Below are 17,006 nucleotides of genomic sequence, written 5' to 3' on the forward strand. Positions count from 1 at the left end.
ACAAGAATGGGCAGTGCAGCTACGGGCCTGACCCAGAGGGAGAACTAGAACGGAGATCCCTGCAAAAGCTGAAAGTTTGAAGGGAAACATCTTCCAAACAGTGGACCAGGAAAAAAATCCATCCCCCAACCTAGAAGATAAGGAAGTTTGCCTGTCTCCACTTGTTTTGGGGTGGGGTGGCGGGGGGAATTAAGTCTTTTTTTAGAATATTCTTTTCTTTCTTTTTTTTTTTTTGAGATGGAGTCTCGCACTGTCCGCTGGGCTGGAGTGCAGTGATGCAATCATGGCTCACTGCAACCTCTGCCTCCCGGCTTCAAGCAATTCTCCTGCCTCAGCCTCCCAAGTAGCTGGGATTACATGCACACACCACTACACCCAGCTAATTTTTTGTATTTTTAGTAGAGATGGGGTTCCACTATGTTAGCCAGGCTGGTCTCAAACTCCTGACCTCGTGATCTGCCCACCTCGGTCTCCCAAAGTGCTGGGATTACAGGCGTGAGCCACCACGCCCAGTCTAGAATTTTCATCCTTTGCACTCATGCAAATAAAGCTCTCTTGACGATGAATTCAAAATCACAAATTTTTCAACACTTGAGAAAACAATCTACCATGAGCAAGAATTAAATCCCTAAGAATTTCAGATAATAAAATCATCAGAGAAAGATAAAAAGAAAAAAATGAGTGTTTAAAATTATAATAGAGGCTAGGCACGGTGGTTCATGTCTATAATCCTGGCACTTTGGGAGGCTGAGATGGGATAATCGCTTGAGACCAGGAGTTCAAGACCAGCCTGGGCAACACAGCAAGACCCTGTCTTTACAAAGAATAAACTTTTTTCAAGGCAGGGCACGGTGGCTCACGGTGGGTGGATCACAAGGTCAACAGATCAAGACCATCCTGGCCAATATGGTGAAACCCCATCTCTACTAAAAATACAAAAATCAGCTGGGCATGGTGGCACGCACCTGTAGTCCCAGCTACTCTGGAGGCTGAGGCAGGAGAATCGCTTGAACCCGGGAAGCGGAGGCTGCAGTGAGCCAAGATCATGCCACAGCACTCCAGCCTGGTGACCGAGTGAGAGTCCGTTAAAAAAAAAAAAAAAAGAAAGAACAGGAGGAAAACTTGAAAAAGAACTTTAAGGCCAGACGTGGAGGCTCACACCTGTAATCCTAACACTTTGGGAGGCAGAGGCAAGAGGATTGTCTGTGCTCAGTAATTTGAGACTAGCCTACACAACACAGCAAGACCCCATCTCTACAAAAAATAAAAATAAAAAATTAGCTGGGCCTGGCGGTGCATGCCTGTGGTCACAGCTACTCAGGAGGCTGAGGTAGGAGGGAGGACCCCTTGAGCCCAGGAGGTTGAGGTTGCAGTGAGCCATAATCGCGCACTCCAGCCTAGCCAATAGAGTGAGATACTGTCCCAAAAAAAAAAAAAAAGAACTTTAAGAAATGTATATAGTAAATTAATTGAAAAATTCAAAAACACCAGATATTTTTGGGAAAAAAAAAGCTGAAAAATGGTTCTAAAGAAATCACTCAAATATAGAGATGAAAAAATGGAAGAGCAGCCAGGCACAGTGGCTTATGCCTGTAATCCCAGCACTTTGGGAGCCCAAGTAAGGCAGATCACTTGTGGTCAGGAGTTCGAGACCAGCCTGGCCAACGTGTTGAAATCCCATCTCTACTAAAAATACAACTATTAGCCTTGCATGGTGGTGCATGCCTGTAATTCCAGCTATTCAAGAGGCTGGGGCAGGAGGATTGCTTGAACCCAGGAGGCAGAGGTTGCAGTGAGCCAAGATCACACCACTGCACTTTGGCCTGGGTGACAGAGTGAGACTCCATCTCAAAAAAAAAAAAAAAAAAAAAAAAAAATGGAGGCAGAATTAAGAAACATGATAGAATTAGAAGATCCAAAGAGAAGTGCTGAGAGAAGAAGTCCATTTGTGGAGAATTCTATATGCAGTGTCTTAGTTTGAAGTCCCAGAAGCAGACCCTGAGTATTTTAGTGTAGATAATTGATTTGGGAGGACAGGAAGCATCGGCAGGGAAGTGGGAATGTGATACGGGGCAGGGAAAGCAGTCAATAAAAGATGTTTATTATGCCAGCCACCAAGTGGACAAGAAAGCTTCCTTCTGGAGGGAAGTCTGGGAAAATGTAAGATCCATGCCTCTGAATCTTCCCACTCTTGGGTCAGGGAGCAGGAGAGTTTCTACACTTACTCCTTCCTGTCAGTTATTGTCAAGGCTGCTTCAGGAGGCATTCAGCCCTCAACACTTCTGGCCCTCAGGCACGGAGGAGCAGACACTGGTAGTCTAGAAGAAACGGAGAGATGGGGTTAGAGGGCCGTGGCAGAGGGACTGTAACATCTGGTCTACCTGTAAATTATTGTTCAGAGTTGAGGAAACATAGACTTTTTTTTTTTTTTTTTTTTTGGAAAAACAGAGTGGGCTTAACATTAACAGTCCTTTCTGAAGAAACTACTAAAGAAGGAATTTCAGGGAGAAAAAACATTTTTTGTTATTGTTTCTGAGACAGGGTCTCTGTCACCCAGGGTGGAGCGCAGTGACACAGTCACAACTCACTGCAGCCTAAACCTTCTGGGCTCAAGCGATCCTCCCACCTCAGCCTCCCTAGTAGCTGGGACTATGGGCATGTACCACCATACCTGGCTAATTTTTGTATTTTTTTGTAGAGACAGGGTTTTGCCATGTTACCTAGGCTGGTCTCAAACTCCTAGAGCTCCTGGGCTCAAGCAGTCTTCCTGCTTCGGCCTCTCAAAGTGCTGGGATTACAGGTGTGAGCCACCTCGCCCTGCCAGGAAGAAGAAAATTCAGCCTAGAAACAGGATGCCAAGAAAAGGTAAATAAATAAAATAGTAAATCTGGGGGTAAATATGAGCAGGCAGTCATTATATAAAACAATAACAATGGTAATGATAAGTTGGAGAGTTATTAAAAATTAGAACCAAAATACCAGATAGCAATGACATGTAAGACAGGAGTGAAAGTGTATTAAGGTCCTTGCATGGCTCAGAAGGAAGAAACAGGTCATGATCACTTTAGACTTAGTTAAGGCTATACTGCATAGTAAGATTTTAAGGGAGGCTACTGAAAGAATAGAATTGAATGTATGTTTTCCAAACCTATCGAAAAAAAACAAGAAATTTTTAAAAACTAGATTGATCTAGGAGAAAAATGGAAAAAGCAAGACAAATAGTATAAAATGTAAATGCAACAGTACAAAAAATTCAAACAGATCAATAATCAATAATAAAAAGGTAGAGATTATCAAATTGGATTTCTTTAAAAAGGCACACAATCCAGCAATGTTCAAGAGACAGTCCTAAAATATAAACACACAAAGACCGTAAGGAAAAGAAAGGAGAGGCAAGTGATGGCCAAGGAAAAGCGTTTTATACCACTATCACACACAGTGGACCTTAAGATCAAAGTCATCATTAGCACCAAAGAGTAGAAAAAGGTGATACAAAGATCAATGCACCAGGAAGATGGAATCTATAGATTTATGTGCACTTCATAATATAAGCTTAAAATTTATTTTTAAAAACGATTAAATTATAAAGCAGAAAAGCTTTCAGTTTTGTAAAAGTCAACAACACCCAGTTATGGAAAACAAGTAAACAAAACACTTAAGTAACCTATAAAAAGAAGGGAAGGTCCTTGGCCTGAGACACAGAGCATATTTCATACTTATGGTAAAATGGAAGCCACTTTCCCTTTAAAAACCAGAACAAGGCCGGGCGCGGTGGCTCACGCCTGTAATCCCAGCGTTTTGGGAGGCCGAGGCCTGTGGATCACGAGGTCAAGAGATTTAGACCATCCTGGCCAACATGGTGAAACCCCGTCTCTACTAAAAATACAAAAATTAGCTGGGCATGCCGCTGGCGCGCGCCTGTAGTCCCAGCTTCTAGGGAGGGTGACGCAGGATAATTACTTGAACATGCAAGCATGTTCTTTTTTTTTTTTTTTTTTTTTTTTTTTTGAGACTGAGTCTCGCTCTGTAGCCAGGCTGGAGTGCAGTGGTGCGATCTCGGCTCACTGCAATTTCCGTCTCCCAGGTTCATGCCATTCTCCTGCCTCAGCCTCCTGAGTAGCTGGGACTACAGGTGCCTGCCACTACGCCCGGCTAATTTTTTTGTATTTTTAGTAGAGACGGGGTTTCACCGTGTTAGCCAGGATGGTCTCGATCTCCTGACCTCGTGATCCACCCGCCTCAGCCTTCCAAAGTGCTGGGATTACAGGCGTTGGCCACCGCACCCGGCCGACAAGCATGTTCAATGTCATCACTGCTAGTCAATATTGGATCAGATGCCCAGGCCAGCAAAGTAAGAGAAGAAGAGAAAATATGAGGTATGGAGCTTAGGAAAAAGCAAAATAGTTATTATTTGAAGATATGAATGTGTACATAGAAAAATTCAAAAGAATCTACCTAAGAGTTTAGAAGTTTGCCGCAAGATTCCTTTTTAAAATCTATTATGTTCCCATATAGTTATAAAATACAATCTTTGAAGTGGCCCTATTAGTAAAGTAGCAATTACTGCAGATACTTAAGAATAAATAGAATAGGCCGGGCGTGGTGGCTCACACATATAATCCCAGCATTTTGGGAGGCCGAGGTGGGCGGATCACTTGAGGTCGGGAGTTTGTGACCAGCCTTGCCAACATGGTGAAACCCCGTCTCTACTAAAAATACAAAAAATTAGCCAGGTGTGGTGGCGCATGCCTGTAATCCCATCTATTGGGGAGACTGAGGCAGGAGAATCGTTTGAACCAGAGAGGCAGAGGTTGCAGTGAGCCTAGATCATGCCTGGACAACAAAGCAAGACTCTGTCTCAAAAAAAAAAAAACAAAAAAACAAAAACAAAAAAAAAACTGTCCAATATTACAGAGAAAATCATAAATCTTGTCCCAAGACATAAAAGAAAACCCAATGAAGAGACATGCTGTGTTCATATTTACTAAGTCACAATATTGTAAAGATGCCAAATATCCTCAGATTAATCAATAAATTAAATACAATTTCAATCCAACAGGGTTTTTCATATAATTAGACAAGCTGATCCTAAACTCCATATGGGAAGCAAAATATCAAGAATAGTTAAAAACGCCTGTAGTTCCAGCTACTCGGGAGACTAAGGCAGGAGAATGGCGTGAACCCGGGAGGCGGAGCTTGCAGTGAGCCAAGATTGCGCCACTGCACTCCAGCCTGGGCGACAGAGCGAGACTCTTGTCTCAAAAACAAAAAAAAAAAGAATAGTTAAAAACAATTTCAAATGTGGCCGGGCGCGGTGGCTCACGCCTGTAATCCCAGCACTTTGGGAGGCCAAGGAGGGCAGATCACCTGAGGTCAGGAGTTCAAGACCAGCCTGATCAACATGGAGAAAGCCTGTCTCTACTAACAATACAAAATTAGCCGGACGTGGTGGTGCATGCCTGTAATCCCAGCTACTCAGGAGGCTGAGACAGGAGAATGGCTTGAACAGGGAGGCAGAGATTGGGGTGAGGCGAGATCCCACCATTGCACTCCAGGCTGGGCAACAAGACCGAAACTCCGTCTAAAAAAAAAATGGCCAGGTACGGTGGCTCACGCCTGTAATCCCAGCACTTTGGGAGGCCAAGGCGGGCGGATCACAAGGTCAGGAGATTGAGACCATCCTAACACGGTGAAACCCTGTCTCTACTAAAAATATAAAAAATTATCCGGGTGTGGTGGTGGGCGCCTGTAGTCCCAGCTACTCAGGAGGCTGAGGCAGGAGAAGGGTGTGAACCCGGGAGGCGGAGATTGCAGTCAGCCCAGATTGTGCCACTGCACTCCAGCCTGGGCGACAGAGCAAGACTCCGTATCAAAAAAAAAAATAGAAAAAGAAATGGACAAACAACCCAGTGGCAATAGAGAGTGATATGGAAAGACAATCTACAGAAAAGGAGGAAACGCAGTTGGCCAGTAAACATACCAAAACCAGGTCGGGCGTGATGGCTCACGCCTGGTAATCCCAGCACTTTGGGAGGCTTAAGCGGCAGGATCACCGGAGGTCAGGAGTTCGAGACCAGCCTGAACAACACGGTGAAACACCTAGTAAAAATACAAAAATTAACGAGGCGTGGTGGCGCACCTGTAGTCCTGAGAGGTGACAGCCTGCTGGCAGCCCTCCCAGCCCTCGCTGGCTCTGGGCGCCTCCTTGGCCTTGGCGCCCACTCTGGCCGCACTTGAGGAGCCCCCCTTCAGCCCGCTGCTGCGCTGTGGAAGCCCCTTTCTGGGCTGGCCAAGGCTGGAGCCGGCTCCCTCAGCTTGCAGGGAGGTGTGGAGGGAGAGGCGCGGGCGGGAACCGGGGCTGCGCAGCGGCGCTTGCGGGCCAGCGCGAGTTCCGGATGGGCGTGGGCTCAGCGGGCCCCCCACTCGGAGCGGCCGGCCAGCCGCGGGCAGTGAGGGGCTTAGCACCTGGGCCAGCAGGTGCTGTGCTCGATTTCTCGCCAGGCCTTAGCTGCCTCCCTGGAGCGCCGCCCCCTGCTCCAGGGCGCCAGGTCCCATCGACCGCCCTAGAGCTGAGTAGTGCCGGCGCACTGCGCGGGACTGGCAGGCAGCTCCACCTGCGGCCCCAGTGCGGGACCCACTGGGTGAAGCCAGCTGGGCTCCTGAGTGTGGTGGGGACTTGAAAAACCTTTTTGTCTAGCTAAGGGATTGAGAATACACCAATCAGCACTCTGTCTAGCTCAAGGTTTGTGAATGCACCAATCAGCACTCTGTGTCTAGCTGATCTGGTGGGGACTTGGAGTACCTTTATGGCTAGCTAAGGGATTGTAAATACACCAATCAGCACTTTGTATCTAGCTCAAAGTTTGTAAACACACCAATAAGCACCCTGTGTCTAGCTCAGGGTTTGTGAATGCACCAATCGGCACTCGGTATCTAGTTAATCTGGTGGGGCCTTAGAGAATCTTTATGTCTAGCTAAGGGATTATGAATGCACCAATCAGCACTCTGTATCTAGCTCAAGGTTTGTAAAAGCACCAATCAGCACTCTGTATCTAGCTCAGGGTTTGTAAATACACCAATCCACACTCTGTATCTAGCTAATCTAGTGGGGACATGGAGAACTTTTGTGTCTACCTCAGGGATTGTAAACGCACCAATCAGCACCCTGTCAAAACTGACCAATCAGCTCTCTGTAAAACAGACCAATCGGCTCTCTGTAAAATGGACCAATCAGCAGGATGTAGGTGGGGCCAGATAAGAGAATAAAAGCAGGCTGCCAGCTCCAGCCCTGGTAACCCGTTTGGATTCTTTTCCACCTTTTAGGTGCTTTGTTCTTTGTAATAAATTTTAGTGCTGGTTATTCTTTGGGATCACACTGCCTTTATAAGCTGTGACGCTCACTGCAAAGATATACAGCTTTAGTCCTGAAGCTACGGAAAACATGAACCCACCAGGAGAAACGAAGAACTCTGGATGCGCTGTCTTAAGAGCTGCAACACTCAACAGCGAAGGTCTGCAGCTTTATTGCTGAGTCAGCAAGACTGCGAACCCACCAAAAAGGAAAAACTCCCAACACATTGGAACATCAGAAGGGACAAACTCGGGACACGCCGCCATTAAGAACTGTAACAAACACCGCGAGGGTCTGCGTCTTTATTCTCGAAGTCAGCCAGACCGAGAACCCACGAATTCCAGACACAGACTCAGCTACTCGGGAGGCTGAGGCAGGAGAATCACTTGAACTCGCGAGGCAGAGGTCACAGCGAGCCAACATCACAGCATTGCACTCCAGCCTGGGCACAAGAGCAAGAGCAAATCACCATCTTTAAAAAAAAAAAAAAAACCCAAAACCTGTTCAACTTTGCTGGTCATGAGGGAAATCTAAAATAAAACCACAATTAGTTACCCACTTCTCAGAATGGCAAGGAGGGGCTCCTGAAATTCCTATATGTTGCTGAGGACAACAGGTAAAGCACTTTGGAGAAAGTGTGGAAATATATCTATAAAATGTAAAGATGCTCTTCCCCACAGTCTTGTGACTGCATGCATAGGCGTATCCCCTAGAGAAACTTTCACGCATGTGCACCAACCAGCATGCACAGAATGTTTACTGCAGCAGAGTCTGCAGTCAGAGATGTGTAAACAACCAGGCTAAATATACTTCAATAGAAGAATTAATAAATTGTATGTTCATCCAGTGAAATAACAAATAGCAATTAAAAATAATCTAGGCTACATGTATTAACATGGAAAACCCCCCAAAATAATGGTGAACAAAAAACAAAAGCAAGGATCAGAGGATACGTACCATTTACATAAAGGTAAAAACCATGTAAAATAAAACTATATATTATTGCTTACAAATATGTTTAATTGGCTAATCATGGTGGCTTACACCTGTAATCCCAGCACTTTGGGAAGCCAAGGCAGGAGGATTGCTTGAGGCCAGGAGTTCAAGATCAGCCTGGGTAACATACAGCAACCTCATTTTTATGGGGAAAAAAAAAAACAACTAGCCGGGTATGATGGTGTGCATCTCTAGTCCCAGCTACTCGGGAGGCTAAGGTAAGAGGATCACTTGAGCCCGGGAGTTCGAGGCTGCAGTGAGCCGTAATCATGCCATTGCACAACAGTCTGGGCAACAGATTGAGACTCTGTCTCAAAAAATAAATGAATAAATAAATACGTTTACTTACAGTAAAACATGCAGGTGGAGTGATAACCTGTAAATTCGGGATACTAGTTACCTCTAGGGAAGAAAAGAGAAGATGGAATCCAGAGAGTGGGACCTAGGGGGCCATACCTCTCTGTAAATATTTTGTTAATTATTTCAAAAGTATAAAGCAAATATGGCAAAATGTTAACATGCAGCAAGCTGGCTAGAACATGGGTGTTTCTGCATTATCCTCTTTAGTTTTCTCTGTGGTTGAAAGTTTCACTTAAAAGATAAAGCTCTGAAGCCAAGTGACGTGGAAATATTGGCTTTGCCTTACAAATAGCAGGGTGACCAACATCCTGTACATAAATCCTCACACACACAGCCCATTTCCTTGAAACAAATTCCTAGAAGTAAAAGAAATTGCTCGGTCAAAGGGCACAAAAATTAAGCCTTTTATATATCCTCCCAAGAACTTTACCAATTTACCCTTCTATAGCATTATTATTTTTTATTACAGATTTGGTAATGTAAGTGGCAAAAACTATTATAAGATTATTACTTTAGGCCAGGCGCCATGGTTCACGCCTGTAATCCCAGCACTTTGGGAGGCTGAGGTGGGTGGATCACGAGGTCAGAAGATGGAGACCACGGTGAAACCCCGTCTCTACTAAAAATACAAAAAAAATTAGCGGGGCACGGTGGCGGGCGCCTGTAGTCCCAGCTACTCGGGAGGCTGAGGCAGGAGAATGGCGTGAACCCGGGAGGCGGAGCTTGCAGAGAGCTGAGATCACGCCACTGCACTCCAGCCTGGGCGACAGAGCAAGACTCCGTCTTAAAAAAAAAAAAAGATTGTTACTTTAATACTCATTCCTTTCATTATTGGGAGAACATTTTCTAACATTGTCGATGTGTATTTCTTCTTTTGTGAATTTCTTGTTCATGTCTTTAGCTCATTTTTAACTGAGATGCTTATCTATATTGATCTATAAAAGCTCTTTAAAGATTAAAAATGTTAGTGTTTTCTCACATTGATATGAGGATTTTTTTTTTCAGTTCTTCACTTTAATATATATTGATGAGGGTTTTTTTTGTTGTTTGTTTTTTGATGTACAGGAGTTTGAGGAATCATCTCATGTTCTTTTTCTTTTTCTTTTTTTTTTTTTTTTTTTTGATATGGAGTCTTGCTCTGTCACCCAGTCTGGAGTGCGGTGGCGAGATCTCGGCTCACTGCAAGCTCCGCCTCCCAGGTTCACGCCATTCTCCTGCCTCAGCCTCCCAGGTGGCTGAGATTACAGGCATGTGCCACCACACCCAGCTAACTTTTGTACTTTTTAATAAAGACTGGGTTTTACTATGTTGGTCAAGCTGGTCTCAAACTCCTGATCTCAGGTGATCCGCCCACCTCGGCCTCCCAAAGTGCTGGGATTACAGGTGTGAGCCACCATGCCTGACCTAAGGATCTAGTAATCTAGGATGATCTATCTTGCCATCCTTGATTACATGTTCATAGCCAGGTTGACAGAAGAATCCAGGGGGTTACCAGGTGCTCAGTAAACAAACTCAAGGATCTGAAATCTTCACTCCATCCCACTTGCTGCTTCCTTCTTCCCAAGCCCATTATGACTCCTTTAATGACCAGCAGCCCAGCGACTTTCCTCTGGCATGGCCTCAAGCACTGCTTCAGCTCCACCAGGAGCACCAAGGCACTAGAGGCCAGGCAGGAGCAGCCCAGGTGGAAGGCCCCAGGGCGAGGAGGAGCCCCAGCAGCCTGCCTCTTTCCCTTTCGGTGGGCCCTTCTTCTCCAACCTCCCATCCAACAGTCAGCACACGTGCCTTCCTCCTGCACCCTTGCTGAGCACACGCCCACGTCCACCCTGACCCCACACCCTGCACCCCAGAATGTCTGATTGGTCCCCGGAGGCATTGCTTCCCAGACACCTCTTGTGTTCAGCTCACACTGTTCCACCATCCAAATGTCCTGCCTCCTCCCCACTCCTCCTCTCTCCTGTTCATCCTTCCATGTCCCCCTCCTGCAGAGGGAGAATTTGTCATTTGGTGAACACCTTGCAAGTACCAGATACTCTGCTAGCTGCTTGTGAACACTGTGTTACTTCATCCTCCTCTGTGAGTGTCCCAGTGCTGCCGTAACAAATCACCACAAACCGAGTGGCTTAGAACAGCACAAATGTCTTCTCCCACAGTTTTGAAAGGAAGAAGTCTGAAATCAAGGTGTCCACAAAGGCTGTAAGGGAGAGACCTTCCTCACCTCTTCCAGCTTCTGGTGGCTTCAGACTTTCCTTGGCTTGTGGCAGCATCACTCTAATCTCAGCCTCTGTCTTCACATGGCTCTCTCCTCATCTCCCTGTGTGTCTCCCACTGTATATTTCTTATAAGAACACCTGACATTGAATCTAAGTAATCTGGAAGGACCTAGTAATCTTTTTTTGGTTTTTTTGTTTGTTTGAGTCGGAGTCTCACTGTCACCCAGGCTGGAGTGCAATGGTGCAATCTCAGCTCACTGCAACCTCTGCCTACCTGGCTCAAGTGATTCTCTTGCCTCAGCCTTCCAGGTAACCAGGATTACAGGTACGTGCCAACACACCCAGCGGATTTTTGTATTTTTAGTAGAGACAGGGTTTCACCATGTTGCCCAGACTGGTCTTGAACTCCTGACCTCAGGTGATCCACCCGCCTCAGCCTCCCAAAGTGCTGGGATTACAGGCGAGAGCCACCGCACCCAGCCTCTTTGTTTTTGTCAAGGTGGAGTCTCACTCTATCACCCAGGCTGGATTGCAGTGGCACAATCTTGACTCACTGCAGCCTTCACCTCCGAGGTTCAAGTGATTCTCCTGCCTCAGCCTCCCGAGTAGCTGGGATTACAGGCACCACCACCACACCCAGCCTTTTTTTTTTTTTTTTTTTTTTTTGGTATTTTTAGTAGACAGGGTTTTGCCATGTTAGCCAGTCTGGTCTCAAACTCCTGGCCTCAAGTGATCTGCCCACTTCGGCCTCCCAAAGTGCTGGGATTACAGGCGTGAGCCACCACACCCCGCCTAAGGATCTAGTAATCTAGGGTGATCTATCTTGACATCCTTAATTACATCTGCAAAAAGCCTTTTTCCAAGTAAGGTCACATTCACAGGGTCCAGGAGTTAGAATGTGGACATGTCTTTTGGGGGTCACCATTCAATCCACTGTACCTTCTAACAACCGTTTGAGGGAAAGAGAGCGTTACTCTCATTTTATAGTTGAGGATGCTGAGGCTCAGACAGGGTAAGGGCCTTGCCTAGGATCACACTGCTACCAAAGGCAGCCAGCATCTGAATCTACCTGATTACAAAGTCCGTGTTTTCTCCACTATACCTATAACTCTTCCATAAGCCTTTTCTCCTTTCCTCCCACCCTTCACCCCCGCTTTTCCTGCCTTTGAACCACCTCTGGGTGCTTCTGTGGCCCTCTCATCTTTTCATGCATTTTTCTTTTTTTTGAGACGGAGTCTCGCTCTGTTGCCCAGGCTGGAGTGCAATGGCGCGATCTTGGTTCACTGCAACCTCTGCCTCCCTGGTTCACGCCATTCTCCCACCTCAGCCTCCCGAGTAGCTGGGACTACAGACGCCCACCGCCACACTCAGCTAATTTTTTGTTTTTATATTTTTAGTAGAGACGAGGTTTCACCGTGTTACCAGGATGGTCTTGATCTCCTGACCTCGTGATCTGCCCGCCTCGTCCTCCCAAAGTGTTAGGATTATGGGCATGAGCCACCGCTCCCAGCCTTTTCATGCATTTTTGTTTGTCTTATCTCCTCCAGTCTGAGCTCTCCTTAGAACAAGACCTTGCCTTACTCATCTCTGTATCTTCCAAAGTGCTCTGTCTGGAGCATAGCACATGGTAAGTGCTCCATAAATGTCTGTTGAACTCCCTGCTAGTAGAACAATGATGTGGGTTAATTAGCATATAATATTAAAATGTAGCTACAGAACTGAAACTGCAGATAAAAAAAATTGCTTAATACCCAAGGAAGTTGTTGCCTGCTCTCCAAATCATCAGCACAGAAGATAGCACTCGTCACTGTGGTTGGGGAAATTGCACGGTGAAAGTCACAGGATGGCTCTGCAAGGGGGCAGGGACATCAGACTGGGGTCACGTTCCCATGTGGTATTCTGCGCCTGTAACTCATATGACACTCTGGCACTATTTCTAAATAACACTCAAGTGTCTGTTTTATCAGAGTATAACACACTTGGCTGGAATAGTTCACTTACTGATATTCCACAATTTATGTAACCAGTTCCATATTATGGGATATTTATTTAGGTTAGTGCTACTTTTTTTTTTTTTTTTTTTTTTTTGAGATGCAGTCTCGCTCTGTCACCCAGGCTGGAGTGCAGTGGCGCAATCTCGGCTCACTGCAAGCTCCACCTCCTGGGTTCATGCCATTCTCCTGCCTCAGCCTCCCGAGTAGCTGGGACTACAGGCACCCGCCACTACACCCGGCTAATTTTTTGTATTTTTAGTAGAGACAGGGTTTCACCGCGTTAACCAGGATGGCCTCAATCTCCTGACCTCGTGATCCGCCCGCCTCTGCCTCCCAAAGTGCTGGGATTACAGGCGTGAGCCACCACTCCCGGCCTACTTTTTTTTTTTTTTAATTAACAATGCTGCAGTGAACATCTTTGAAGCTATATCCATGCACAACCCTCAGGATTACTCCCACAGGATGAAATCCTACATGTGGAGCACTGGGTCAGCCACCGTCCACATTTTCAGTGAGGCCTTTGACAATAAGGCCAAATGGCCCCCCTGAAAAATTGCAATGGTTTATAATGGTTGCAATGGTTTAATTACCCATTTGCTGAGTAGGATTTTGCCAGGTGAAAATGAGGGCAAAGGCACATCAGCTGCAAGGAAGGAAGTAAAAGCTTAGAAGCAGGCAAGCTCTGAGATGCTAAATCAGTAAGTAGGTGAATAAGCCAGTTGTTACAGCCTATAAAGGAGACTCACAGGAAAAGAGACCAAAGAGAGGAATAAGAGGCAAGTCCTCAGGGACCTTCAACCAGTGTAGGGGTTTATGTTCATCCTGTGACACCAGATGAGGCCCTCTGGCAGCAGTGGCATGTATTGTGAGAGGTCAGATGGAGAAAGGGAGATCCATTAGTGGTTGGTGGAACCTTCCCGGACAGGGAAGACGAGGGCCTGGAGGAGACCATGGGTTTGACAAGAGAAGAGCAGATACAGCCAACCACGTAACACATTACGGTAGCAGAAGAACAGCCAAAGATGTCTACATCCCATCTCAAACCTCTGAATGCTACCTTACATGGCAAAAGGGATTTTGCAGATGTGAGCAAGTTAAGGGTCTTGAGATGGGGAGATGATCCTGGCTTACCCCAGAGTATCCTGCTGGGCCGATATAATCACAAGAGTTTTTATAAGAGGAGCAGGAGGGTCAGCATCAGGGAAGGAGATGTGATGATGCGAGCAGAGGTCATGCAACGCGGGGCCACGAGGCAAGGAATGTGTGCCCCTGGAAGTGGATAGAGGCGAAGAACAGGTTCTCCCATAGAACCTACAGAAGGAATCCAGCTCTTCCAACACACCTTGATTTTGATCCAATTCGAGCTTCTTACAATTACGAATTGTAAGATAAATTTGTGTTGTTTCAGGCCACTAAGCTTGTGGTCATTTGTCACTGCAGCAATAGAAAACTAATATAGGCCAAGATATCATGCCACACAACCTGCTCCCTTGCCCTCATGGAGGGTGTCCCAAGGCAGCTTTGCCAAATAAGTTAGAGGACAATTAGTGCTGTGAGGCTCAAGGAAGAAGGATCCCTGAGGACCACAGTATGAGAGCCATTAGAACTTGGGCTGATGTAAACAGCATTAAGTACAAATGGGAAGGGTGCGTGACCTCTGGGGGCGCATGGGGCAGGGCTGCTCAGAGGCAGGGGGATGGGTAAATTGACCTCTGCCTGTCTGAGGAGTAAGTTCTCCAGGTAACTAGTACAAAAGCAAAAGAACCTCAGGGGAGGAAAGGTTTTCTAGGAGGACCCATCTTTGTCTTTTCTTTGTATATTTGTAGCATCTCTCTTACGTAAATTCTGCAGGAAAGAGAATTTTCTTGGCAGTATGCGCCAAATAAATAAACACAGCAGTATTTCTTAGGCCAGACGACCAGCTCCCAGCATAAAGCTGTAGCCCCCAGCGGAGAGGAAGCTGTCCTCCTCTACTTCCTCTCTTCTAAAGACAAACATCTTGTGCAAGAATAACATGCTCACTTCCTTCACAATCATCAAAATAGAGAGGACCCACCCACGCTACAATGTCAGAAGAATGGTGCAGCTTCAGACTCATCTTCCCTGGTTCTCAGGAACAATGACACCACATTATTGCTGCTATCGAGCTACAGAGAACTCAGACCATTACATCTGGTGGCATTCCTGGCCCCAGTAGTAGCACAGCAGGATTCCTGACCCCAGAATCACTATCTCAAGACCTGGGGTTCTAATTTGAGAGGCAGAAAGTTACAGCAACTCAAATTTATATGCATCTTACAAAATAGCTTCAAAATACATAAATTGACAATTGACTTCAAAAAGGCTTTCTCAATTATCCATAGGTCAGGCAGATAAAAATCAGTAAAGATAGAAATTTTAAAAACAATGATCAGCCTAGGCAACAAAGTGAGACCTCATGTCTACAAAAAAAAGAAAAAATTAGCCAGGTGTAGTGGCACACATCTGTCATCTTAGCTATTCAGGAGGCTCAGGCAGGAGGATTGCTTGAGCCCCGAAGTTCCAGGCTGCAGTGAGCTATGATTGCACTGATGCAGGGCAAGTAAGCTCCCAAATTGGGACTTAGCCCTGGAAGATTCTTGGCTTTGCTCAGGAAAGAATTCAAGAGCCAGCTGGTGGTAGAAGAAAACAGCTTTATGGAGGCAGCAGTGTGACAACTTTATGACTACTCCTGCAGAGCAGGGCTAACCCCTAGGCAATGTGTTGAGAGCACCAGCTCAGGGGCAGGTCAACAGTCATACATATACCCACTTTCAATTACTTGCAAGTTAAGGTATTGAGAGGTGACAGCGTGCTGGCAGTCCTCAGAGCCCTTGCTTGCTCTCAGCACCTCCCCTGCCTGGGCTCCCACTTTGGCGGCATTTGAGGAGCCCTTCAGCCCCCCACTGCACTGTGGGAGCCACTTTCTGGGCTGGCCAAGGCTGGAGCCCGCTCCCTCAGCTTGCAGGGAGGTGTGGAGGGAGAGGCGCGAGCAGGAAGCAGGGCTGCGTGCCGCGCTTGCGAGTCAGCTGGAGTTCCGGGTGGGCGTGGGCTTGGCGGGCCCCACACTCAGAGCAGCCGGCCAGCCCTGCTGGCCCCGGGCAATGAGGGACTTAGCACCCGGGCCAGCAGCTGTGGAGGGTGTACTGGGTCCCCCAGCAGTGCTGGCCCACCGGCGCTGCGCTCGATTTCTCGCCGGGCCTTAGCTGCCTTCCCGCGGGGCAGGGCTCGGGACCTGCAGCCTGCCATGCCTGAGCCTCCCACCCACTCCATGGGCTCCCGTGTGGCCCAAGCCTCCCCGACGAGCACCACCCCCTGCTCCACGGCGCCCAGTCCCATCGACCACCCAAGAGCTGAGGAATGAGAGCGCACAGCGCGGGACTGGCAGGCAGCTCCACCTGCAGCCCCAGGTGCGGGATCCACTAGGTGAAGCCAGCTGGGCTCCTGAGTCTGGTGGGGACGTGGAGAGTTTTTATATCTAGCTCAGGGATTGTAAACACACCAATCAGCACCCTGTGTCTAGCTCAAGATTTGTGAGTGCACCAATCGACACTCTGTATCTAGCTGCTCTGCTGGGGCCTTGGACAACCTCTGTGTGGAAACTCTGTATCTAACTAATCTGATGGGGACGTGGAGAACCTTTGTATCTAGCTCAAGGATTGTAAACGCACCAATCAGCGCCCTGTTAAAACAGGCCACTCGGCTCTACCAATCAGCAGCATGTGGGTGGGGCCAGATAAGAGAATAAAAGCAGGCTGCCGGAGCCAGCATTGGCAACCCGCTCCGGTCCCCTTCCACAGTGTGAAGGCTTCGTTCTTTTGCTCTTTGCAATAAATCTTGCTATTGCTCACTCTGGGTGCACACTGCTTTTAAGATCTGTAACTCTCACCGTGAAGATCTGCAGCTTCACTCCTGAGGCCAGCAAAACCACGAGCCCACCGGGAGGAACGAACAACTCCAGATGCACTGCCTTAAGAGTGGTAACGCCCACCGCAAAGGTCTGCAGCTTCAATCCTGAGCCAGGGAGATCATGAACCCACCAGAAGGAAGAAACTCTGAACACATCTGAAAGTC

General features: G+C 47.1%; 1 annotated feature.

The window, feature by feature from the left end:
- Positions 16,064 to 16,621: an enhancer, noted in NCBI's record as "H3K27ac-H3K4me1 hESC enhancer chr12:6251513-6252070 (GRCh37/hg19 assembly coordinates)". NCBI's record gives its function as "activates a minimal SCP1, AML or CMV promoter by ChIP-STARR-seq in naive H9 embryonic stem cells {active_cell/tissue: H9 hESC(naive)}" and the evidence as "EXISTENCE:reporter gene assay evidence [ECO:0000049][PMID:30033119]".

Source organism: Homo sapiens, chromosome 12, assembly GCF_000001405.40.
Source record: "Homo sapiens chromosome 12, GRCh38.p14 Primary Assembly".
In the NCBI taxonomy this organism is placed as follows: domain Eukaryota; kingdom Metazoa; phylum Chordata; class Mammalia; order Primates; family Hominidae; genus Homo; species Homo sapiens.